Source organism: Homo sapiens, chromosome 7, assembly GCF_000001405.40.
Source record: "Homo sapiens chromosome 7, GRCh38.p14 Primary Assembly".
NCBI classification, from domain to species: domain Eukaryota; kingdom Metazoa; phylum Chordata; class Mammalia; order Primates; family Hominidae; genus Homo; species Homo sapiens.
The window spans coordinates 136,734,955-136,752,791 of NC_000007.14; the positions used below are offsets into that span (position 1 = coordinate 136,734,955).

The 17,837-nt window shown below is 36.6% G+C and overlaps 1 long non-coding RNA gene across 1 annotated transcript, besides 1 other annotated feature; it reads right to left on the bottom strand.

Annotated features, from left to right (window-relative positions):
* Nucleotides 1-8,802: 8,802 nt before the first annotated feature.
* Nucleotides 8,803-17,347, bottom strand: LOC105375524 (uncharacterized). Its single transcript, XR_928033.2, has 3 exons — nt 17,310-17,347; nt 11,883-12,028; nt 8,803-9,034 (listed from the first exon to the last, which is right to left on the bottom strand). It is a non-coding gene; the product is annotated as an uncharacterized LOC105375524 (long non-coding RNA).
* Nucleotides 10,595-10,795: a silencer, noted in NCBI's record as "peak6766 fragment used in MPRA reporter construct". NCBI's record gives its function as "represses an SCP1 promoter by STARR-seq MPRAs in K562 erythroleukemia cells {active_cell/tissue: K562}" and the evidence as "EXISTENCE:reporter gene assay evidence [ECO:0000049][PMID:32103011]".
* Nucleotides 17,348-17,837: the final 490 nt, after the last annotated feature.

The following is a 17,837-nucleotide window of genomic DNA, read 5'->3' on the forward strand; positions in this document are numbered from 1 at the left end:
ACTCTCAACAAACAGAGAACGATATCAAATAAGTACCCAAAAAAATAAAATAAAGCCAAGAAAACAAAGAAACCAAAAACCCAACAAGCTTTCGTAAGGGGCTTAAAGCAGACCTTTAAGCATTGATTGTTCCAATCCTCTTTAAATTGTTCCACAGTATTGAAAATTAAAGAAAACTTAATAATTTTTGTGAAGTACAAATAACATTGCTACCTAAACCTGCTAAAAACAGTGTAAGAAGGTTATAGACAAATACCACTTTTGATACTTAAAGTTCTAACCAAAACATTAGCCAACATAATCAAACACTATTTTGGAAAATAATATACTATGACAAGGTGAGATTTGTTAAAGGAATGTAAGTTTGGCTTTGATTAGGAAATTCATCAGTATAATAATATAGCATATTAATTGAGCTAAGGAAAAGATTACGGTTATCGTCATGGATGCTAAAAAAGTCATTGACAAAATTTAATCCCCATTCTTTTTATAAATAACAAATAAATAGAACTTGATGGACATTTTCTCAACAATTTAAGATAAATCATTGTGTGCATATATATAAAATATTTTATCAAATACATATATATTTATAAATATATATCATATATAGTTTTACAACTAAGGGAAATATAAATATATGCATATCTATAGGTATAGATATATAGACAAACATATATATATTTCCCTTAGATTAAAAGCTAGCATCATATTAATATGGAAACATTAAAAGTATTTGAATTGAGATAAGAAGACAAGGCTGTCCATCAATTCCTATATTGTTGAATATTTTCCTAGAAGTATTAGATAATACAATTGGACAAGAGAAATCTGTTAACAGTCTAAAAATCTTAAAAAAGCAATACAATTATTTATATATGCAGACACTATAGGACGCCTGTAAAATCTTAAAGCAGCATTCATCTCCTGCAATTTTCTGTGATTATTGAAATGTTCTACACTGAGTTGTCCAATACCATAAACATACACTTGGTGCCTACCCTATTGAACAGAATGATCCTAGGGAATCAATGGTAAACTAAACATAATATAGTAAGATGGCAGAATAAAACATTAGTATTCACAAATTAATAGTTTTCAAAAGCAGAAAAAAGTAACCAGTTACAAGATGTAACATTAGAAAACACTCCATTTACAATGGCACTGCCACCACTGCCAACAACAAAAAATGCTTGGGAATAAATTTAGCCAAAAATGTGGGTAACCTTGACACTTTGAAGAGTTTTGGCCAGTTATTTTGTAGAATCTCCCTTGATGTGAGTTTGATATTTTCTGAAGTTTAAATTTGGGGTGTATATATTTGGTTAGAATACCATAGAAGTGAAAGTGAACCTTTCTCAGTGTACCATATCACCAGCATATGGTGTTGATGTGGTCCATTAATAATGCTAGATTTACCTTGTGGTTAAGCTGGTGTCTACAGTTTCTGTACTGTGAAGGTACTATTTTTCTTCATAATTAATAAATTGTGGAGAGATGTAATTCATAATATATTGTGAGCCTATGTAAATGTTCTGTCTCCCTTCATAATTTCACTCGCTATTTTTAGCATTCAATGATGGTTCTTGCCTGTTATAATTAATTACTGTGGTGTTTTCCAAATGGTGATTCTTTTTACTCCTACCATTCTTTCTATATTTATTAGTATGAATTTTACTGTAAGGAATCCTCCCTATTTATTTATATCACTATGGAATCATAACTTCTTCTTCTATGTGTTATAATAGAAAACTGTAATTATTTTATCCCAGATTTTTAATGTCACCCCAACTTTTGAGTTTTCCCTTATTTTCTGGCACTACAAGATGTTCCAGGCTTACCATGTAATACTTTTCCTCCAGAATCATTCATTTGAAACTCTGGTTTCTTTTACTTGAGGATGGTGTTCAGAAACCAAGATTTGGATACTAATTGTGCCCATTGGTACTAGGTTATCATTATTTGTAGGACTTCCCAGTGGACAGAACTAGGAAATACATGTGTATAGATAGATAGATAGATAGATAGGTAGATAGATAGATAGGTAGATAGATAGATAGATAGATAGATAGATAGATAGATAGATAGATAGATAGATAGGTTAATTATCTATCTATTTATATAATCTATCTGTCATCTATCTGTCAATCATTTATCTACCATGAAGTATTACTAGTAAAGCAAGGTACAGTCTGGAGAAGTGAAAAACATTAATTCTCTGAGAACTGAAAAAATAACTTCAGAGACTGTCATGTACTGTAGTGAAGATAAGTGCATAACAAAGCTCAGGAGATTGTTTTCATCTTCTCAAGTCAATAAAAAGCTTAGCCATTAATTAAAAGCTAAGAAAAGAAAAATGAAAATATCGAAAAGACAGATCTGCAATTATCTTATATGGCAGTGTTCTTTTTTAAAAAATGACTAAGAGAAAAAGATTAAAATTATGAGCAACAGTAAAAATATTTATAATGTACAGCATATAGCAGAGAGAGAGACATCAAATATGAAGAGTTGTCCAGCAGGTGCCAGAGAATTTTGGGGAGGTGAGGAAATCTATGAAGTAATATGAGAAACACTGGTAGGCGACCCCCTATGGGAAGTGTCCAATCTGGACTGGACTGGTGACAGGGAACTGGGATATAAGGTAAGCTGATTAATATTCATTTAAAATACATTTATCTAATTTAACATAAAATTGGGTAATTTCTTTCTCATCTTCTCAACCATTTATAATAGAAGAAAATGAAAATATTTTCCATGCTTTGTGGCTTTCTCTCTTTTGTGATCCTTTTTGCTTTAACTTTTTCCTCCTGCATTGTTTCTACTTAGTGCTAAAAGAAACTCAGCCATGGTCAAAGTCAGGGACATATCATTCTGACCCCTTGTTCTCTCATGATTTGTGGCTCTCCCGCTGCTGCTGCTACAGTTCATATGATTCCATTTTAATGTCTATCACTCTCATCTTCATTACCAGGAGAAAAAAAATCACAAATAGCCATCTCACCCTTCTTCTCCTGTATTTCATACCCTAGTCCTCCCAGTCCTTTATAGAGATAACAATCTTAATTTTCCCAATGACACTTCAGTACCTGAAAGGATCAAATCTAAATTCCTTAGATGGCTACTTAAGGATTTGCCGTATATATTCTTTCTTGCTAGTATCCTTGTCTATTGCTCCACTTTAAACCCCCAAGCTTATCCAACCTTATCTGCCACTGCTCTTTCACATTAAATGCCTGTGTCAGAGGGGCTGGTTTTCTTCCTGCCATCAGCCACTCTCTTCTCTCTCCCATCTGCACTTTGGTCATAAAATAATTTTTACTTCTACATATCCAACTTACGCTCATCATTCAAAGCATACCTTATCTCCTCCCCAGTGGTAATTCCCTGTGTAATGTGGCTTTTATGAATGGCTTGTTTCTCTGAATTTTGGCAATTCTCATTATGTCTGTCATTTATTTTGTTATTTAAATGGTAGCAGAATATGGCATTACTTTAAATTTTATTTAATGAAACAGTCACATAAAGTTTCTTTATTCAACATAGGTCATTTCATTTAGGGGAAGAAGTTGCTTAACAAGTTTTATGACTTAAATTCTCCCCAGAATTTATTGAATGTACAACTCAAAGAGAACTCAAATTCTTCTAAGTTAATAAGAAGAATTTCAGTTAAATAAAAGAATAACAAAGAATAGAATGTTATTTTATTGAGGTACATTTGCAAGCTCTCTCTATTTGAAAGGTGCTCTAAATAGCCTCTGAGTTTTAGGTTTTATTACTGGAGGATTCAATAGGGTAGTATTCTGCCTTTTGTTGTAGTTAGAGAAATAATATAATGTGATTCTTTCAATATAAAATCTCTACATATTAATTTGAAGTAATAGGTCAGTTAGAGTAAATTCATTCAAAGCAGAAATTAAGCTATATTTAAGAAAGAATCATTTGTACTGTTTAAAAAATAGTACAGTATGTTTTAAGGAAAACTACAACATTCAGGGCTGTATGGAACTCAATTAGTCCTTAAGCCATTAAGTAAATGAAATCTTAGGATGTTTCCTTGCTTCTCTGAAGTAGCAATACATTATAGCAGTCTGGCAAGGCTCTCAGCCCTCACAAATAATAGAGTCCCACATACTCAGTATTCTCCAGAACTCAGCCCTCTGCCTGACTCTCCTCAAATGTAGAAAGAAAAACGATGTTCACCATTAAGAAGGAGGCAAGGAGGAGGGGCAATAGGGAGAGGAGAGGGAAAGAGAGAGAAGTAGCTTTTGCTTCTTTATTTCTGGGAGTCCTTTCCAAACCAAACTATTAGAGACACATACTCCCTTCAAATTTCACCATGGGAGCCCCCGACTTTTGCATGATAATACAGAGTGGTGTCTTTTATACCCCTATGAAAGTTCTTCATGGAGTGCAGTAGGTTAATGAAGGTTGAGGGGAGGGATCATAAAGGGAAGTGACTTGAAGGTGTTGCAGAGCTGGTGGGAGTCCAGGGAGTGTCTCATAGCCTGTACTCCCATCATTTATTAAAGACTGCACATGCTTCCTTCCAAGTTTCCTTTCCTTTCTTTAAAGGACATATACTTTGTAAAATATAGAGAAGGAAATGCTTTGATCCCATAGGCTGTAAAACTAATCCCAAGAACACATAAACGATGATGTGAAGCAGTCCAGGCGCAGTGGCTCATGCCTGTAATCCCAGCACTTTGGGAGGCCAAAGCGGGCAGATCACCCAAGGTCGGGAGTTCAAGACTAGCCTGACCAACATGGAGAAACGCTGTCTCTACTAAAAATACAAAATTAGCTGGGCGTGGTGGTGCATACCTGTAATCCCAGCTACTGGGGAGGCTAAGACAGGAGAATCGCTTGAACCCGGGAGGCAGAGGTTGCAGTGAGCAAAGATCCCACCACTGCACTCCATCCTGGGCAACAAGAGCAAAACTCCGTCTCAAAAAAAAAAAAAAAAAAAATATTATCTTGGGTCGGGCGCAGTGGCTCACGCCTATAATCCCTGCACTTCGGGAGGCCCGGGCAGGTGGATCACTAGGTCAGGAGTTGGAGACCAGCCTGGCCAAGATGGTGAAACCCCATCTCTACTAAAAATACAAAAAGTAGCCGGGCACCTGTAATCCCAGCTAATCAGGAGGCTGAGGCAGGAGAATCGCTTGAACCTGGGAGGCGGGGGTTGCCGTGAGCCGAGATCACCCAGCTGCACCCTAGCCTGGGCAACAGAGCAGGACTCCATCTTTAAAAAATAAAATAAAAATAAAAGATGATGTGAAGCATTTAGATATAGGTATGTATATCTTTTGCTTACCATCTTTCAATAAATCATCTGCTTTATTTTTAGTATTCCCAAATGTGTTAGAGAAATGGGAGCCATAAGAATGAAATGAAGGGAAATGGGAGCATTCTGGCTTTATTCAAAGCAAGGCAGACAATTGACCATGGGCATCCAAAACAGCATGGCCATAAATAAAGGTGGTTATTTTTATAGTGCTTATTTAGGGGATCCAGTGCTTTGTATATGATAGTAGAAGAGACTTATTATTAACAATGAGAAAAATGAGTTGCCAAATTTAGAGACCACTCCACATTCATGAACTTGAAAATTCTAGGCAAACTTGAAACCTCTTGTTGGCATCTGGGTTGATTTATCCTTGCCAAGAGACTGTGTGTTTCTTTTGTTTCTTTTTTCAGAAGAGTAAAACAATTCTCTCAAACAAAACTTAAATTAGTGGTTTCTTCAAGTTGTGATATATATAAACATAGACGTATAACATTTGTAGAAGCTATATATATATATGCATTATAGAAAATTAAGTACAGAAAGATAACACAAATCATAAACAAGAAAAAATGCACATTCAATGTTATACACTATATCCCTCTGAATCTCTTTCTGTCCTCTCCCCCACCCTTCACCCTCCCCTCCCCTCCTCTCCTTCTCTTTCTCTGAGTTAGGTGAATAACACATAAATCTATCTTTTTGTAAGCCAAAGAAAATTACACACTACATATTCATGTAAGCTGCTTTTTCAGTCAATAGTCTTCAACATTCCATTTTATTAAAATGTCCTATCTCATGATGGGCAGAGAAGAGGGCTTGGAGCAAGTGAACTGATGAAGGTAAGAAGCAGTAGTGAGAAACATGAGTTTATATATTTAATGCATTTAACTTTAAGCATGCATTTACAAATGCACTGATAGAAACATTAAAACAGACTATTTGAAATCACATGCATTTCAGAAAATGTTAAAGGTCCATTGACTCTAATAATTGACATATAAAAATTTTCTGATTAAGGGAGTTTTCTTTATTTTGGGTTTTCCAAATGGATCTTTAAAGGTAACTTCTAAAATTTCATAATATTTATATTTTTTAAAAAAGACAAGGATAGTCTGGTATGTACAGAAGGGTCTGTGATTTTTCCTTAACAACATTGTCTAAGCAGAAGAGGTAAATTTGGATTCTCAGATAATATATCAGAAACGTTCACACTTAGTATGATCTTAGACTGTTTCCCTGTATGCATCTTCATTCATCCGTGTATGCAACCACTACAGCTAATGATACAGAAAAAGAAACATCAGTAAATTAGCTGCTTTGCAATTGGCTTATTAATTAGTGTGCTCAAACTTCTAAAGAATTCCATTCTTTCACATTAACAAAGAGTCACGGAGGGAGAGACAAATACATACACACACACACACACACACACATATGTATGGAGGGAGAAAATATATGTACACACACGTATCTATGTATATATATATACATAGTTATGTAATATTTGTATATTAAGAAAGAAAAGAAAAATATTAGATACAGAGGTGACTAATTTGGGGGCTTGACTACAGGTAATTAATTTGAGAGTCTATCACAGGAAGCAACTGAGAACAGGTAAGGGAAGGAGATAAAGCCAATCTCAGGTTTATTGAGGCTTCTACTATGGTTGCTGTGGGAACTGTGTGAAAGACTGATGAGAACGGTCCATATAAAAAAAGTATGGGAGGAGAATCAGCTGCCAATTGGCTCCCATCTGTCTTTGGTTGAGGATTACCCACCAAGAGCATTTACTGTTTGGCATTTCCAAGCCACAGCTGAGCATGGGACAATCAAGCTATTCTTGGGGCATAGAAAAAAAAATTGAGGCCAGATGAGGAAAGACTTGAGACTTGTATGCCTGAGGCATGACTCTGTCAGGGCAAAGTGAGTCAGAGCTGGCACAGAACTGTCTGCTCGGTCTTTGCCTGAAGTCAGAAGTAGGCACAGGGACTAAGGTAGGCATGTGAGGTGTGCTCTGCAGAACAGAGCAGAGGTCATACTTATAACACGGAACTTTTGCTGTAGAGAACTATTGGAACAGGAGAAGGATAAATCCATGTAATAGCATTGAAAAGGTCATGTTGGGAAAAATATTTTGGGATCTTTACTTAAGTACTCAGAGTCTGAGCCAAAACTGCTCAAGAATTAGGAAATGTATCAACTACCTGCCATTCGTTCCACAATAAGCAAAATCATGGCTCTTCATTCAGCTTTTTTCTTTCTCTCTTTATTTCTTCCTCTCTTTCTTCTTTCTCCTTTTATTTCCTTTCTTCTCCTTCAAATAGAGTCACTTTTTTCTTACTTATTTATTCATTTATTCCACATCTATTTGTTGAGCCTCTAGTAGATGCCTGATGTCATGTTAGTGTTTGGGAGTATAGTAAAAGAGACACAGTTCCTGTCCCCATGCATAATATATTACCTTTAGTCTTAAAGTGTTTTGCATGTTTTTTGTATTTTATTTTTAAAGCTAATGAAATTCTGGGCAATTGTCTGCCTACATAGTGATACAGAACATAGGAAAAAAGTCCACATGTACCCAGATGGCTTGTAAAGCATGGATTATTTCATGCTTATGGTGTAGCCAGGAGCTGAAGGTCTCAAGAAATCAAGAGCTTGTAATGAAAATTTTATGTATCAACTTGTAGGTTATATACAAGTAATTATGATAATGGCAATAAGAGCAGTATAGTCATTCCTATATGTCAGGCACTGGTATAAATGCTTGACTTACATTAACTCATTTTAAATAAAAAAAAAAGGTCTATATATTATTACTAGACAAACAAAATACTTTTAACACTTTTCTGCTTATTTTAAATTCTAGATTTGAGTAAACACTGTCACTGAGGAGAAAAGCAGGAAAAATAAGACAACTTTTCTACCGTTAAGTAATTTATAGTTTAGATAGGAACATGGATGGAGTGTGGCCAAGAAGTGAAGAGTGTTTCACAGGCTCCAAAGTGCAAGATGGTATTTACTGCAATCAGTGTATGCCAAAAGGACAATCTAAGAGAAGAGTCAACCTTCAAGTGGCATGCATGAAAATAGTCACACTGGCAGAGGTGAGCTAGTGAAGGGAGTGACAAAAATTAGAGGATCTTTAGGTTTGAGCACAGAGACAAAGAATTTCCACCTGATAAAAACTCTGTTGTGATGATGATGACCATTTTACTATGCTTAGTTAGCATTCCGTGTAGCTCCTTTAAATTTAGCTTTTGGTAATGAGGGGAGGCATCGGTGTTTGACTGTAAAGGCTTATCACTAGAAAAGTGTAAAGGCACTTTTTGAAAGTCTGTAATTACTTTTTATGTATTTCTCATGCCTATCATATCAAATCTGATATTATCTGTCTTGCCTTTAAAAAAGTCCACTAGTTTCCACTTCTCAGCTCAATAACCTTGATACTCCTTCATTCAAGAAGATAAAAGATCATGAGGAAGGGATATGGGAAAAGAAATTAGGGGGGTCTATTTTATAGTTTTCACATTTTATTCTAACTGAAAAACATGACCTGGAGCTCGAATTGAAAACAGATGTAGAGAAACTGCCATGGTTGCTGAATGAACATAGGTTGGGCTGCCCCTTTGGCATGACCAGCTGTGATTCCCTTCCAGTTCCTCTGCATCTGCAGTTGCTGTCTTCCAATGCACCAAATCTGCCTTCTTCACTCAGCAGCACAAGCTTTCTGGCTGACCAAGTGTCCTGGAATGAAATCAATGTTAATGATTTCTGTGATTCTAGTTGTTTTTGCTTTATTGATGTTTCCTTCCCCCTTCATCCCACCTTCAAACTAATTTTTATTCTCTATGAAAACAATCCAAAATGATGAATTATTTTATGCTTTTGGAAGTGGTAGGATTTAATTGGGTTTCACTGGTTCAATTCAATTTCTGGCACAAGTAAGTCAAATCCTTGAACACAAGCAACAGACAACAGGAGAGATGGTGAATACTGGTGCCTGAGCACCATAGAACTCTGCTGAAAGCCAGTATGTCACCCACATGTGCCTTTTCATCTTTCCCCCTTTTTTGGCAAAATATTTCCATAATTACATGGAATAATGTTAGGGTACAAAAATGTTACAAATGGAATTAATATCAAGATAACCTAATTATTTTAATTTTCTGGCTCAAATATAGAAAAATGAAATTGTATAAACCTCTTTTTATTTCACCTATAAGAAGAATGTCTATAACACTTGGTTCTTTTCTCTACTACTGATTGAGGAAGACTTAGAAGGAAACGTCAAGTATAATATTTATCTATTACTGTGTAGCAAACCACTTTAAAACCTGCTAGGTCAAAGCAACAATTTATTTGTCATGATTCTGTGTTTGATGGGACAGTTCTTATGCTGGCCTTTCCCAGGCTCATTCATGTAGCTGTACTGAGCCAGCCTCTTGCCTAGAGCTGGAGGATCCAGGATGACCTAACTCTCATGTCTGGGGCTTTTGTGATACCTATTAGCTGTGTTGTCTGTCTAGGTGGTCTTTCATCGTTCATGAGCGTGGTGGAATTCTTATTATTCTGAAGGTGGAGATGGAATCTGCACATATTTTTGAGGCCAATGTTGCAGAACTCACACAACCTCATATTTGCCACATTCTTTTGGTCAAACAAAGTCAAAAGTCCATCCCAGATTTAAGGGGTAGAGAATGCACTCTTTTGATTGGAAAAGTTGCAATAAACTTACTGTATCTACCACCTTGAACAAATGAAAGTTTATAGTAACATTTTATATGTCAAAATCCCATGTTAAATTTCTTGAAGGCAAGGAATATCTTTATATTTATTTTCATATTTCAAACTCAGAGTGCCAACATATAGTGGATCTCAATATCTGCCCACTGAATATTTATGTATCGGGAGAACCAGCCCCCGATATTTCAACATAGGTTCTTTTCTATTTTCCCTAAGTGTTGGCCGGTCTGAGAAATAAAGGGAAAGAGTACAAAAGAGAGAAATTTTAAAGCTGGGTGTCCGAGGGAGACATCACATGTCGGCAGGTTCCATGATGCCCCTCAAGCCACAAAACCAGCAAGGTTTTATTAGTGATTTTCAAAGGGGAAGGAGTGTATGAATAGGGCATGGGTCACAGAGAACACATGCTTCTCAAGGCAATAAAATATCACAAGGCAAATGGGGGCAGAGCAAGATCACAGGACCGGGGTGAAATTAAAATTGCTAATGAAGTTTCATGTCCCACTGGGCACACATTGTCATTGTTAACGTCTTTTCAGGAGACAGGGTTTGAGAGCAGACAACCAGTCTGATTAAAATTTATCAGGCAGGAATTTCTTCATCCTCATAGGCCTGGGAGTGCTACAGGAGACCAGGGCTTATTTCATCCCTTATCTATAACCATATAAGACAGACATTCCTAGAGTGGCCATTTTAGAGACCTCCCCCTAGGAATGCATTCTCTCAGGGCTGTTCCTTGCTGAGAAAAAGAATTCAGTGATATTTCTCCTATTCACTTTTGTAAGAAGAGAAATACAGCTCTGTTCCGCCTGGCTCCCAGGCACTCAGACCTAATGGTTATCTCCCTTGTTCCCTGAACATTGCTGTTATCCTGTTCTTTTATCAAGGTGCCCAGATTTCATATTGTTTAAACACACATGCTTTACGAACAATTTGTGAAGTTAACACAATCATCACAGGGTCCTGAGACGACATACATCTTCAGCTTATGAAGATGATGGGATTAAGAGATTAAAGTAAAGACAGGCATAGGAAATCACAAGAGTATTGATTGGGGAAGTGATAAATGTCCATGAAATCTTCACAATTTATATTCAGAGACTGCAGTAAAGACAGGCATAAGACATTATAAAAGTATTAATTTGGGGAACGAATAAATGTCCATGAAATCTTCACAATTTATGTTCTTCTGCTATGGCTTCAGCCGGTCCCTCCGTTCGGGGTCCCTGACTTCCCGCAACATTATGGACTATGGATTTGGAAAATATCATAAAATAATAAAAACAATTCCTTATACTTGCCTTATAGTGTATATTTTTAATGGTTGTTTATGTGAGTCATTTGTAGTATGAGCTTAATTGGGGAACACCTGGAAGAGTTTAATTTCAAGTCTCTTTTAAGGGGGACAGAGTTAGTTTGACAAATAGAGCTTGAGGCATTTTAGACTGGTAGCACAACATGTACAAAAATCAGAAAAGGTGAGAAGACAAGTTATATGTGGAGGACAGTCAGCATATTCTTGATACAATACAATTCTTAGTGTAATAACTTTGTACTAGCAAAGTTACTTTTATTTACTTTTATTAAGTCTAATTAAATTGAATTTGGTGCCCTGTCTAAAAATTTAGTATAAGCTATTGATGGGGAGTTCCCTTTCCAATTGTTAATCATACAAAGGTCTTGGCATCTTATTTTGAACAAAATATTCCAGAAGGTTCTTTCATATTCAGTCCATATTGGTGGCCAGTGAGCAATACATTTTATAAGGTTGCATGGACATTATATTCTGCTGACTTTCTGATGGGTTACATAAAAATTTCTAGGCCTAGAAATGCCAGAGCTTAGAGACCTGTCTATCCATATGCACCCTGAAGTCACCACCACTGAGACCTGTCGACGTTTACGGGAACTGGCATGGCGCAGAGTCCACATCAAGCTGGAAGTGTATGTCCTTTTCTCAAAGTCACTTGGCTTTCGATTTTCCCTTCTGCACATCTAACATAAAAGTTACATAGTTTTCAGGCTTTTACCAAAACCACTAGAAATTTTTTTTTTAATACATTCTACCTCCTGCCCTCCAACACACATAAAATAAGGAAGATAATGACCTGGCCATCTGTTTATTGGTGGTAGGAGTAAGGGCCATGCAGGGAAAAGAGATATTATTTAATATTTTAATGATTTATCTTCTCTTTGCTGCCCTGATCAGTTAGATTTTTAGAATCTTCTCTAAGGTTCTTGTGGTAAACTCTAACAGATTTTTCCCTGGCTTTAGCATTTTGATAAAATCATTCCAACACAATGGACATAGTAAGAACAAAAGGAGTCCCTGAGATGGCTAGCATCATAGGTGATTTCCAACAGGACTTCAAACCCTGAAAATTATATATAAATATATGTGTGTTTGAATTTCTTCTGGAGGTAGGGCTATAGCTTTAAAATTTTCTTATAGGACTTTTTTACTTCCAGAAGTTTCACATTGGACCACTAATTTACAGCTAGTCCAAATGAGCATATCTGTTAATATAAGTAAAAATGCTCATGTAGGGGCAGCATTTTTTTAAAGTAAATCTTATGGAGTTTTTCTTTTTATCTTGTTATCTCTTATGATAGGACTGAATCAACCCCCCTGTAACTGGTTCTTCTTGCTTCCCTGCACTCTGTTTATCCATTACCCTCTGATTTCTTCCTGACAACTGTCCTGTGTTCTATAATTATAGGGTCTTATTATCAACTGGTTGATAAATTAATGTAAAGACCAAGACAGTAAGAAAAGGGAGGCCGGGCGCGGTGGCTCACGCCTGTAATCCTAGCACTTTGGGAGGCCGAGACGGGTGGATCACGAGGTCAGGAGATCGAGACCATCTTGGCTAACACGGTGAAACCCTGTTTCTACTAAAAATACAAAAAATTAGCCGGGCGTGTTGGCGGGCGCCTGTAGTCCCAGCTACTTGGGAGGCTGAGGCAGGAGAATGGCATGAACCTGGGAGGCAGAGCTTGCAGTGAGCCGAGATCGCGCCACTGCACTCCAACCTGGGAGACACAGCGAGACTCCGTCTCAAAAAAAAAAAAAGAAAAAGAAAAAGAAAAGGGACCTGCATCACCACCTACTTGCTGTGTGCTCCCAGGGGATTTTCTTAACCTCTCTGTGCCTTCTTTTTCTCTTATACATAATGAGGTTAATGGCTAGTGTCTCTCTCACAGGCTGGTTACGAGAATGAATTCAATTAATACGTGTAAAGCTCTTGTAATAGGACCTGGCACAAAGTAAGCACCATGTATGTGGCAGTTATTATTTATATCCTAGGAATATTTGTATCTTAACAATTGACAAATAAAAATGTAAGTATTTTTAAAGCTCCCAAATTATTAACCAGAAAGTGGAATTAATGTTTAGGACATCAGGTCTTGTTCAGTGTCCTCAAATCTCATCATCTGTTTTTGTACATTTTCTGTGAGACCATCTAGAACAGGAGCAATATCTTAGCCTTTCTATCTTTATGAATTATGTGGTGCAAGTAAGCTGAGAGCACATAGTGGTATGGTGAGTGAACTATAGCATTACAATGAAGAGACATCTAACTCAGCTCAGGTTATTCATATTCTTTAGGTTTCAACTTCAATATCAATACTTTGAAAAGGCTTTCCTTGGCCTCCATGTTTTGTTAGTTGTCCCATTAGAAAAGTCCTAGAACATAACTATTTAATATCTGATTTTCCCATAGAGAATAAGCTTCGTGGCCAGAGTGGAAGGAGCTATCTCTGCCATGTCCAGTCTAGCATCCAGCAGAGTGGTCTTTCTATGTCACGTGTTCTATCACTGCTTGTTAAACAATAGATAATACCTACGTGTTGCAGTGAGCGACTACTTCAGCTTTGTTACAACCTACTTCATAAGGTTGCTGGAAGAATTCATTTGAATTATGTATACAAAGTGTCTATTATGGTAGCTGAAACAGGGAATTCTTGACCTATGAGAGCTTTTTATGAATTGTCATTTGGAGAATCTGTTTTCTTTAGACTGAGTTCTCAAAATTTCCTTTTTCCCATTTCTGTTTGTTCTCATTTCCAAACCTGCAAACTTTGTATCTCCTTTCTGAAATTATGCATTAAAGTAGTCTGATCAGTTTTGCCCTCAAAACTTTCTGACATCAGAGATTGAGACCATCCTGGCTAACATGGTGAAACTCCGTCTCTACTAAAAATACAAAAAATTAGCCAGGCGGGGTGGCAGGTGCCTGTAGTCCCAGCTACTCGGGAGGCTGAGGCAGGAGAATGGTATGAACCCGGGAGGCAGAGCTTTCAGTGAGCAGAGATCGTGCCACTGCACTCCAGCCTGGGTGACAGAGCAAGACTCTATCTCAAAAAAAAAAAAAAAAAAAAAAAGAAAGAAAAAAGAAAATCTTCTGACATCTGAAAGAGAAACAGGTATGATAGTTGCCCTTTGTCCTCAACCAAATGAAGAAAACCAATCATAACAATGATATTGGGAAATTACTTTTATCAAAGTCTCAGTAATCAGTTATCCTCTAGGGTGGGTCATGTCAGGATTTTCATAAAGATGTCAAAGACAACAGGAAAGAGAATTATAAAAACTTCAGCCATTTGGTAACAAAGGACAAAGGAGATGACACTTGCCAGTTTACTTCAATAAACCTGCTGGATAATTGCACAAAAAGCAGAGAAAACATTCACTTTTTTAAAGTTATGTTCAATTTATTCCTTTTGTTTCCTTTCTTTACTGAAGGAAATGAATAAATATGAATATAAGAAATAAGGGCCGGGCACAGTGGCTCATGCCTATAATCCCAGCAGTTTGGGAGGCCGAGACAGGTGGATCACCTGAGGTCAGGAGTTTGAGACCAGCCTGGCCAACATGGTAAAACCCCATCTCTACTAAAAATGCAAAAATTAGCTGGGCGTGATGGCAGGTGCCTGTAATCCCAGCTACGCAGGAGGCTGAGGTAGGAGAACTGCTTGAACTCAGGAGATGGAGGTTGCAGTGAGCCGAGATCATGCTACTGCACTCCAGCCTGGGTGACAGAGCAAGACTCTGTCAAAAAAAAAAAAAAAAAAAAGAAAGAAAGAAAAAGAGAAAGAAAGAGTGAAAGAAGGAAAGAAAGAGAGAAAAAAGAGACTAAGAAAGAATTGGAGGAAAGCTTTTCAAGACTTTTCGTCAATTTCTCATTTCTATGTTGCCCAGAATGTCTTTTCTCATTTTCTCCTACTATTTTTGTGGCAATTATCTGTGTATCCCATATTAAATCTCTAATTCACTTTATGATTGCAGGTGCTTTTCTTCTCTGCCTGATAATTTTCACAGGGGCCAAAAGATTGGCATCCAGGACATTAATGGTCCTCATTATAAAACTCATCTTTGCCTCCTCTCCACAAGACATCAAATAGGACTATTTCAGGATAACATTTATGGACAAGCATTCACTGATCACTATAGTTGGAAACCTAATTGTATCCCTCATTTATTTGGGCTTCAATATCATTAATTTATATTTCACACCCATAAGTGCTTATAATTGTCAATAAACTGCCAAAAAATGACAAGTGCCGTAGGTGCTCTGAGAGCTGGAAATTCAGAGGTGAAACAGATTATGACGTGAAAAACTCAAGAGAATAGAAACCAGGTTCTCATTAAAAGAATTTCTTTAAAACACTTCTAGTGAATGCCATCTGGCCTGGTGATATTTTTTATTTAATTTGCCCAATAGCTGAAGAACATTCTGTGAATTTAGCACTATTGGACTGCTATCTCTGACCTCAAGTTCAAAAGACATTTTGGCAACAGGATATTCCATGTTATTACCTTCAGTACCCACAAAGGTAAAAATTTCATTTGGTCCCTCTGATTTCAATCTTGTTTTTAATCTTTGTGGAATGCTTTAAAAATGTGTGTATGTGTGTGTGTCTGTGTGTGTGTGTGTGTGTGTGTGTCGGTGTCTGTCTGTGTGTGTGTGTACTTTTTTATCTTTTTTTTTTGTAATAGCCATCCTAAATATTAAATATCCAAAACGCTATGAGGAGATAGCTCTGTGATTTTTTTCTTTTACTTTAAGTTCCTGGATACATGTGCAGAATGTGCAGGTTTGTTACGTAGGTAAATGTGTGCTATGGTGGTTTGCTGCACCTATCAACCCGTCACCTAGGTATTAAGTTCTGCATTCATTAGCTATTTGTCTTAATGCTCTCCGTTCCCTAGCAACCCCCACCCACCACGACAGGCCCCGTGTGTGTTGTTCCCCTCCCTGTGTCCATGTGTTTCATTGTTTAGCTCCCACTTATCAGTGAGAACTCTTTGTAGTTTTGATTGGCATTTCACTGATGATTAGTGATGATGAGCACCTTTTTACATGCCTATTTATTGGCCATTTGTATGTCTTCTTTGGAGAACTATCTATTCTATTCAAGTCCTTTGCCTATTTTTAATCAGGTTATTTGCTTTTTGCTATTGTTGTTCTTTTGTATTCTTTTTTTGCTATTGAATTGTAGACATTTCTTTAAGAAATTTTTTTTTGATATTTAACATTTTGGATATCAACTCATTGTCAGATACATGGTTTGCAAATATTTTCTCTTATTTCATAATTTGCCTTTTCATTCTGTTGATTATTTCATTTTTTGTACAGAAGGTTTTCAGTTTCATGTACTTCCACTTGCCAGTTGAAAAGAGTATGGTAGTTCCTTAAAAACTTAAAGAACTACTATGTGATAAAATCAGTCACAGATGGACAAATACTACATTATTCCAGTTATATGAGTAATCTAAAATAGTCAAACTTACAGAAGCAGAGATAGAATGGTGGGTGGTAGGGGCTGGGGAAAAGGGAGAATGGGGAGTTGCTGTTTAATTAATGGCTATAAAGTTTAAGTTTTACATGATGAATAAGTTCTAGAGATGTGTTGTACAACACTGTGCCTATAGTTAACAATACTGTATGTAAACTTCAAAATTGTTAAGAGGGTTGATCTAACATTATATGTTCTTGCTGTAAAATGTGAATAGAGGTTCCTCTTCAAAGAGAGTTTCCTCCCCATCTAATTAAGAACAAATAGTAACTTCTCTTAGAAACAAAATTTATTGAAACACCTGGGCTAACATTCTTAAATATCTGCTAACCATAATAAAAAAAAATCAATATACTTTGTGTTCTTAACTCCCACAATTTAGCCTAAATATTTGCCCTGGCATGCTTATGCTGGTCCAAGCAAGCATTAGGTCATAGCCTGTTCCTCTTCTTTATTTGGAGGTGTTTTTACCTACCTTGGCATTCCACAAGTTACTTCCTCCTTCCTTTGTTCTCCTCTGCCTTTGCCTCTTTTGAAAAGTTCTAAGTTGCTAGTCAATCAGGACAAATACAGAATGTGAGGTCCCGTTCCAGCCAATGGAAACCAGACACAGCAGTAGGGTGGACGCATCAAGTTATAAATGACCCTGTCTCCTTTGTTCAATGTATTCTTGTGGCAAAACTGATGGCAAGTGTACCCTTTCTGCAGAAAGTAAAAAAGTGGCCTTGCTGAGAAAATTAAATTTATATTCAAGTGCTATTTCTTTATGACACTGGGGAACAAGCATTTCTAACATTGCCAAAGTTAATAAGGAAAAGAGAAGAACAAAGAGTCAGGAGAAAACTCTTGGAGGTGATGGATATGTTTATTACCTTGATTGTGGTGATAGTTTCATAGTTGTACACATACATCAAAAGTCACCAAATTGTATATTTTGAATATATGCACTTTTTCTATATCAATTATACTGCAATAAAACTGTTAAAATATATACTGTATATAC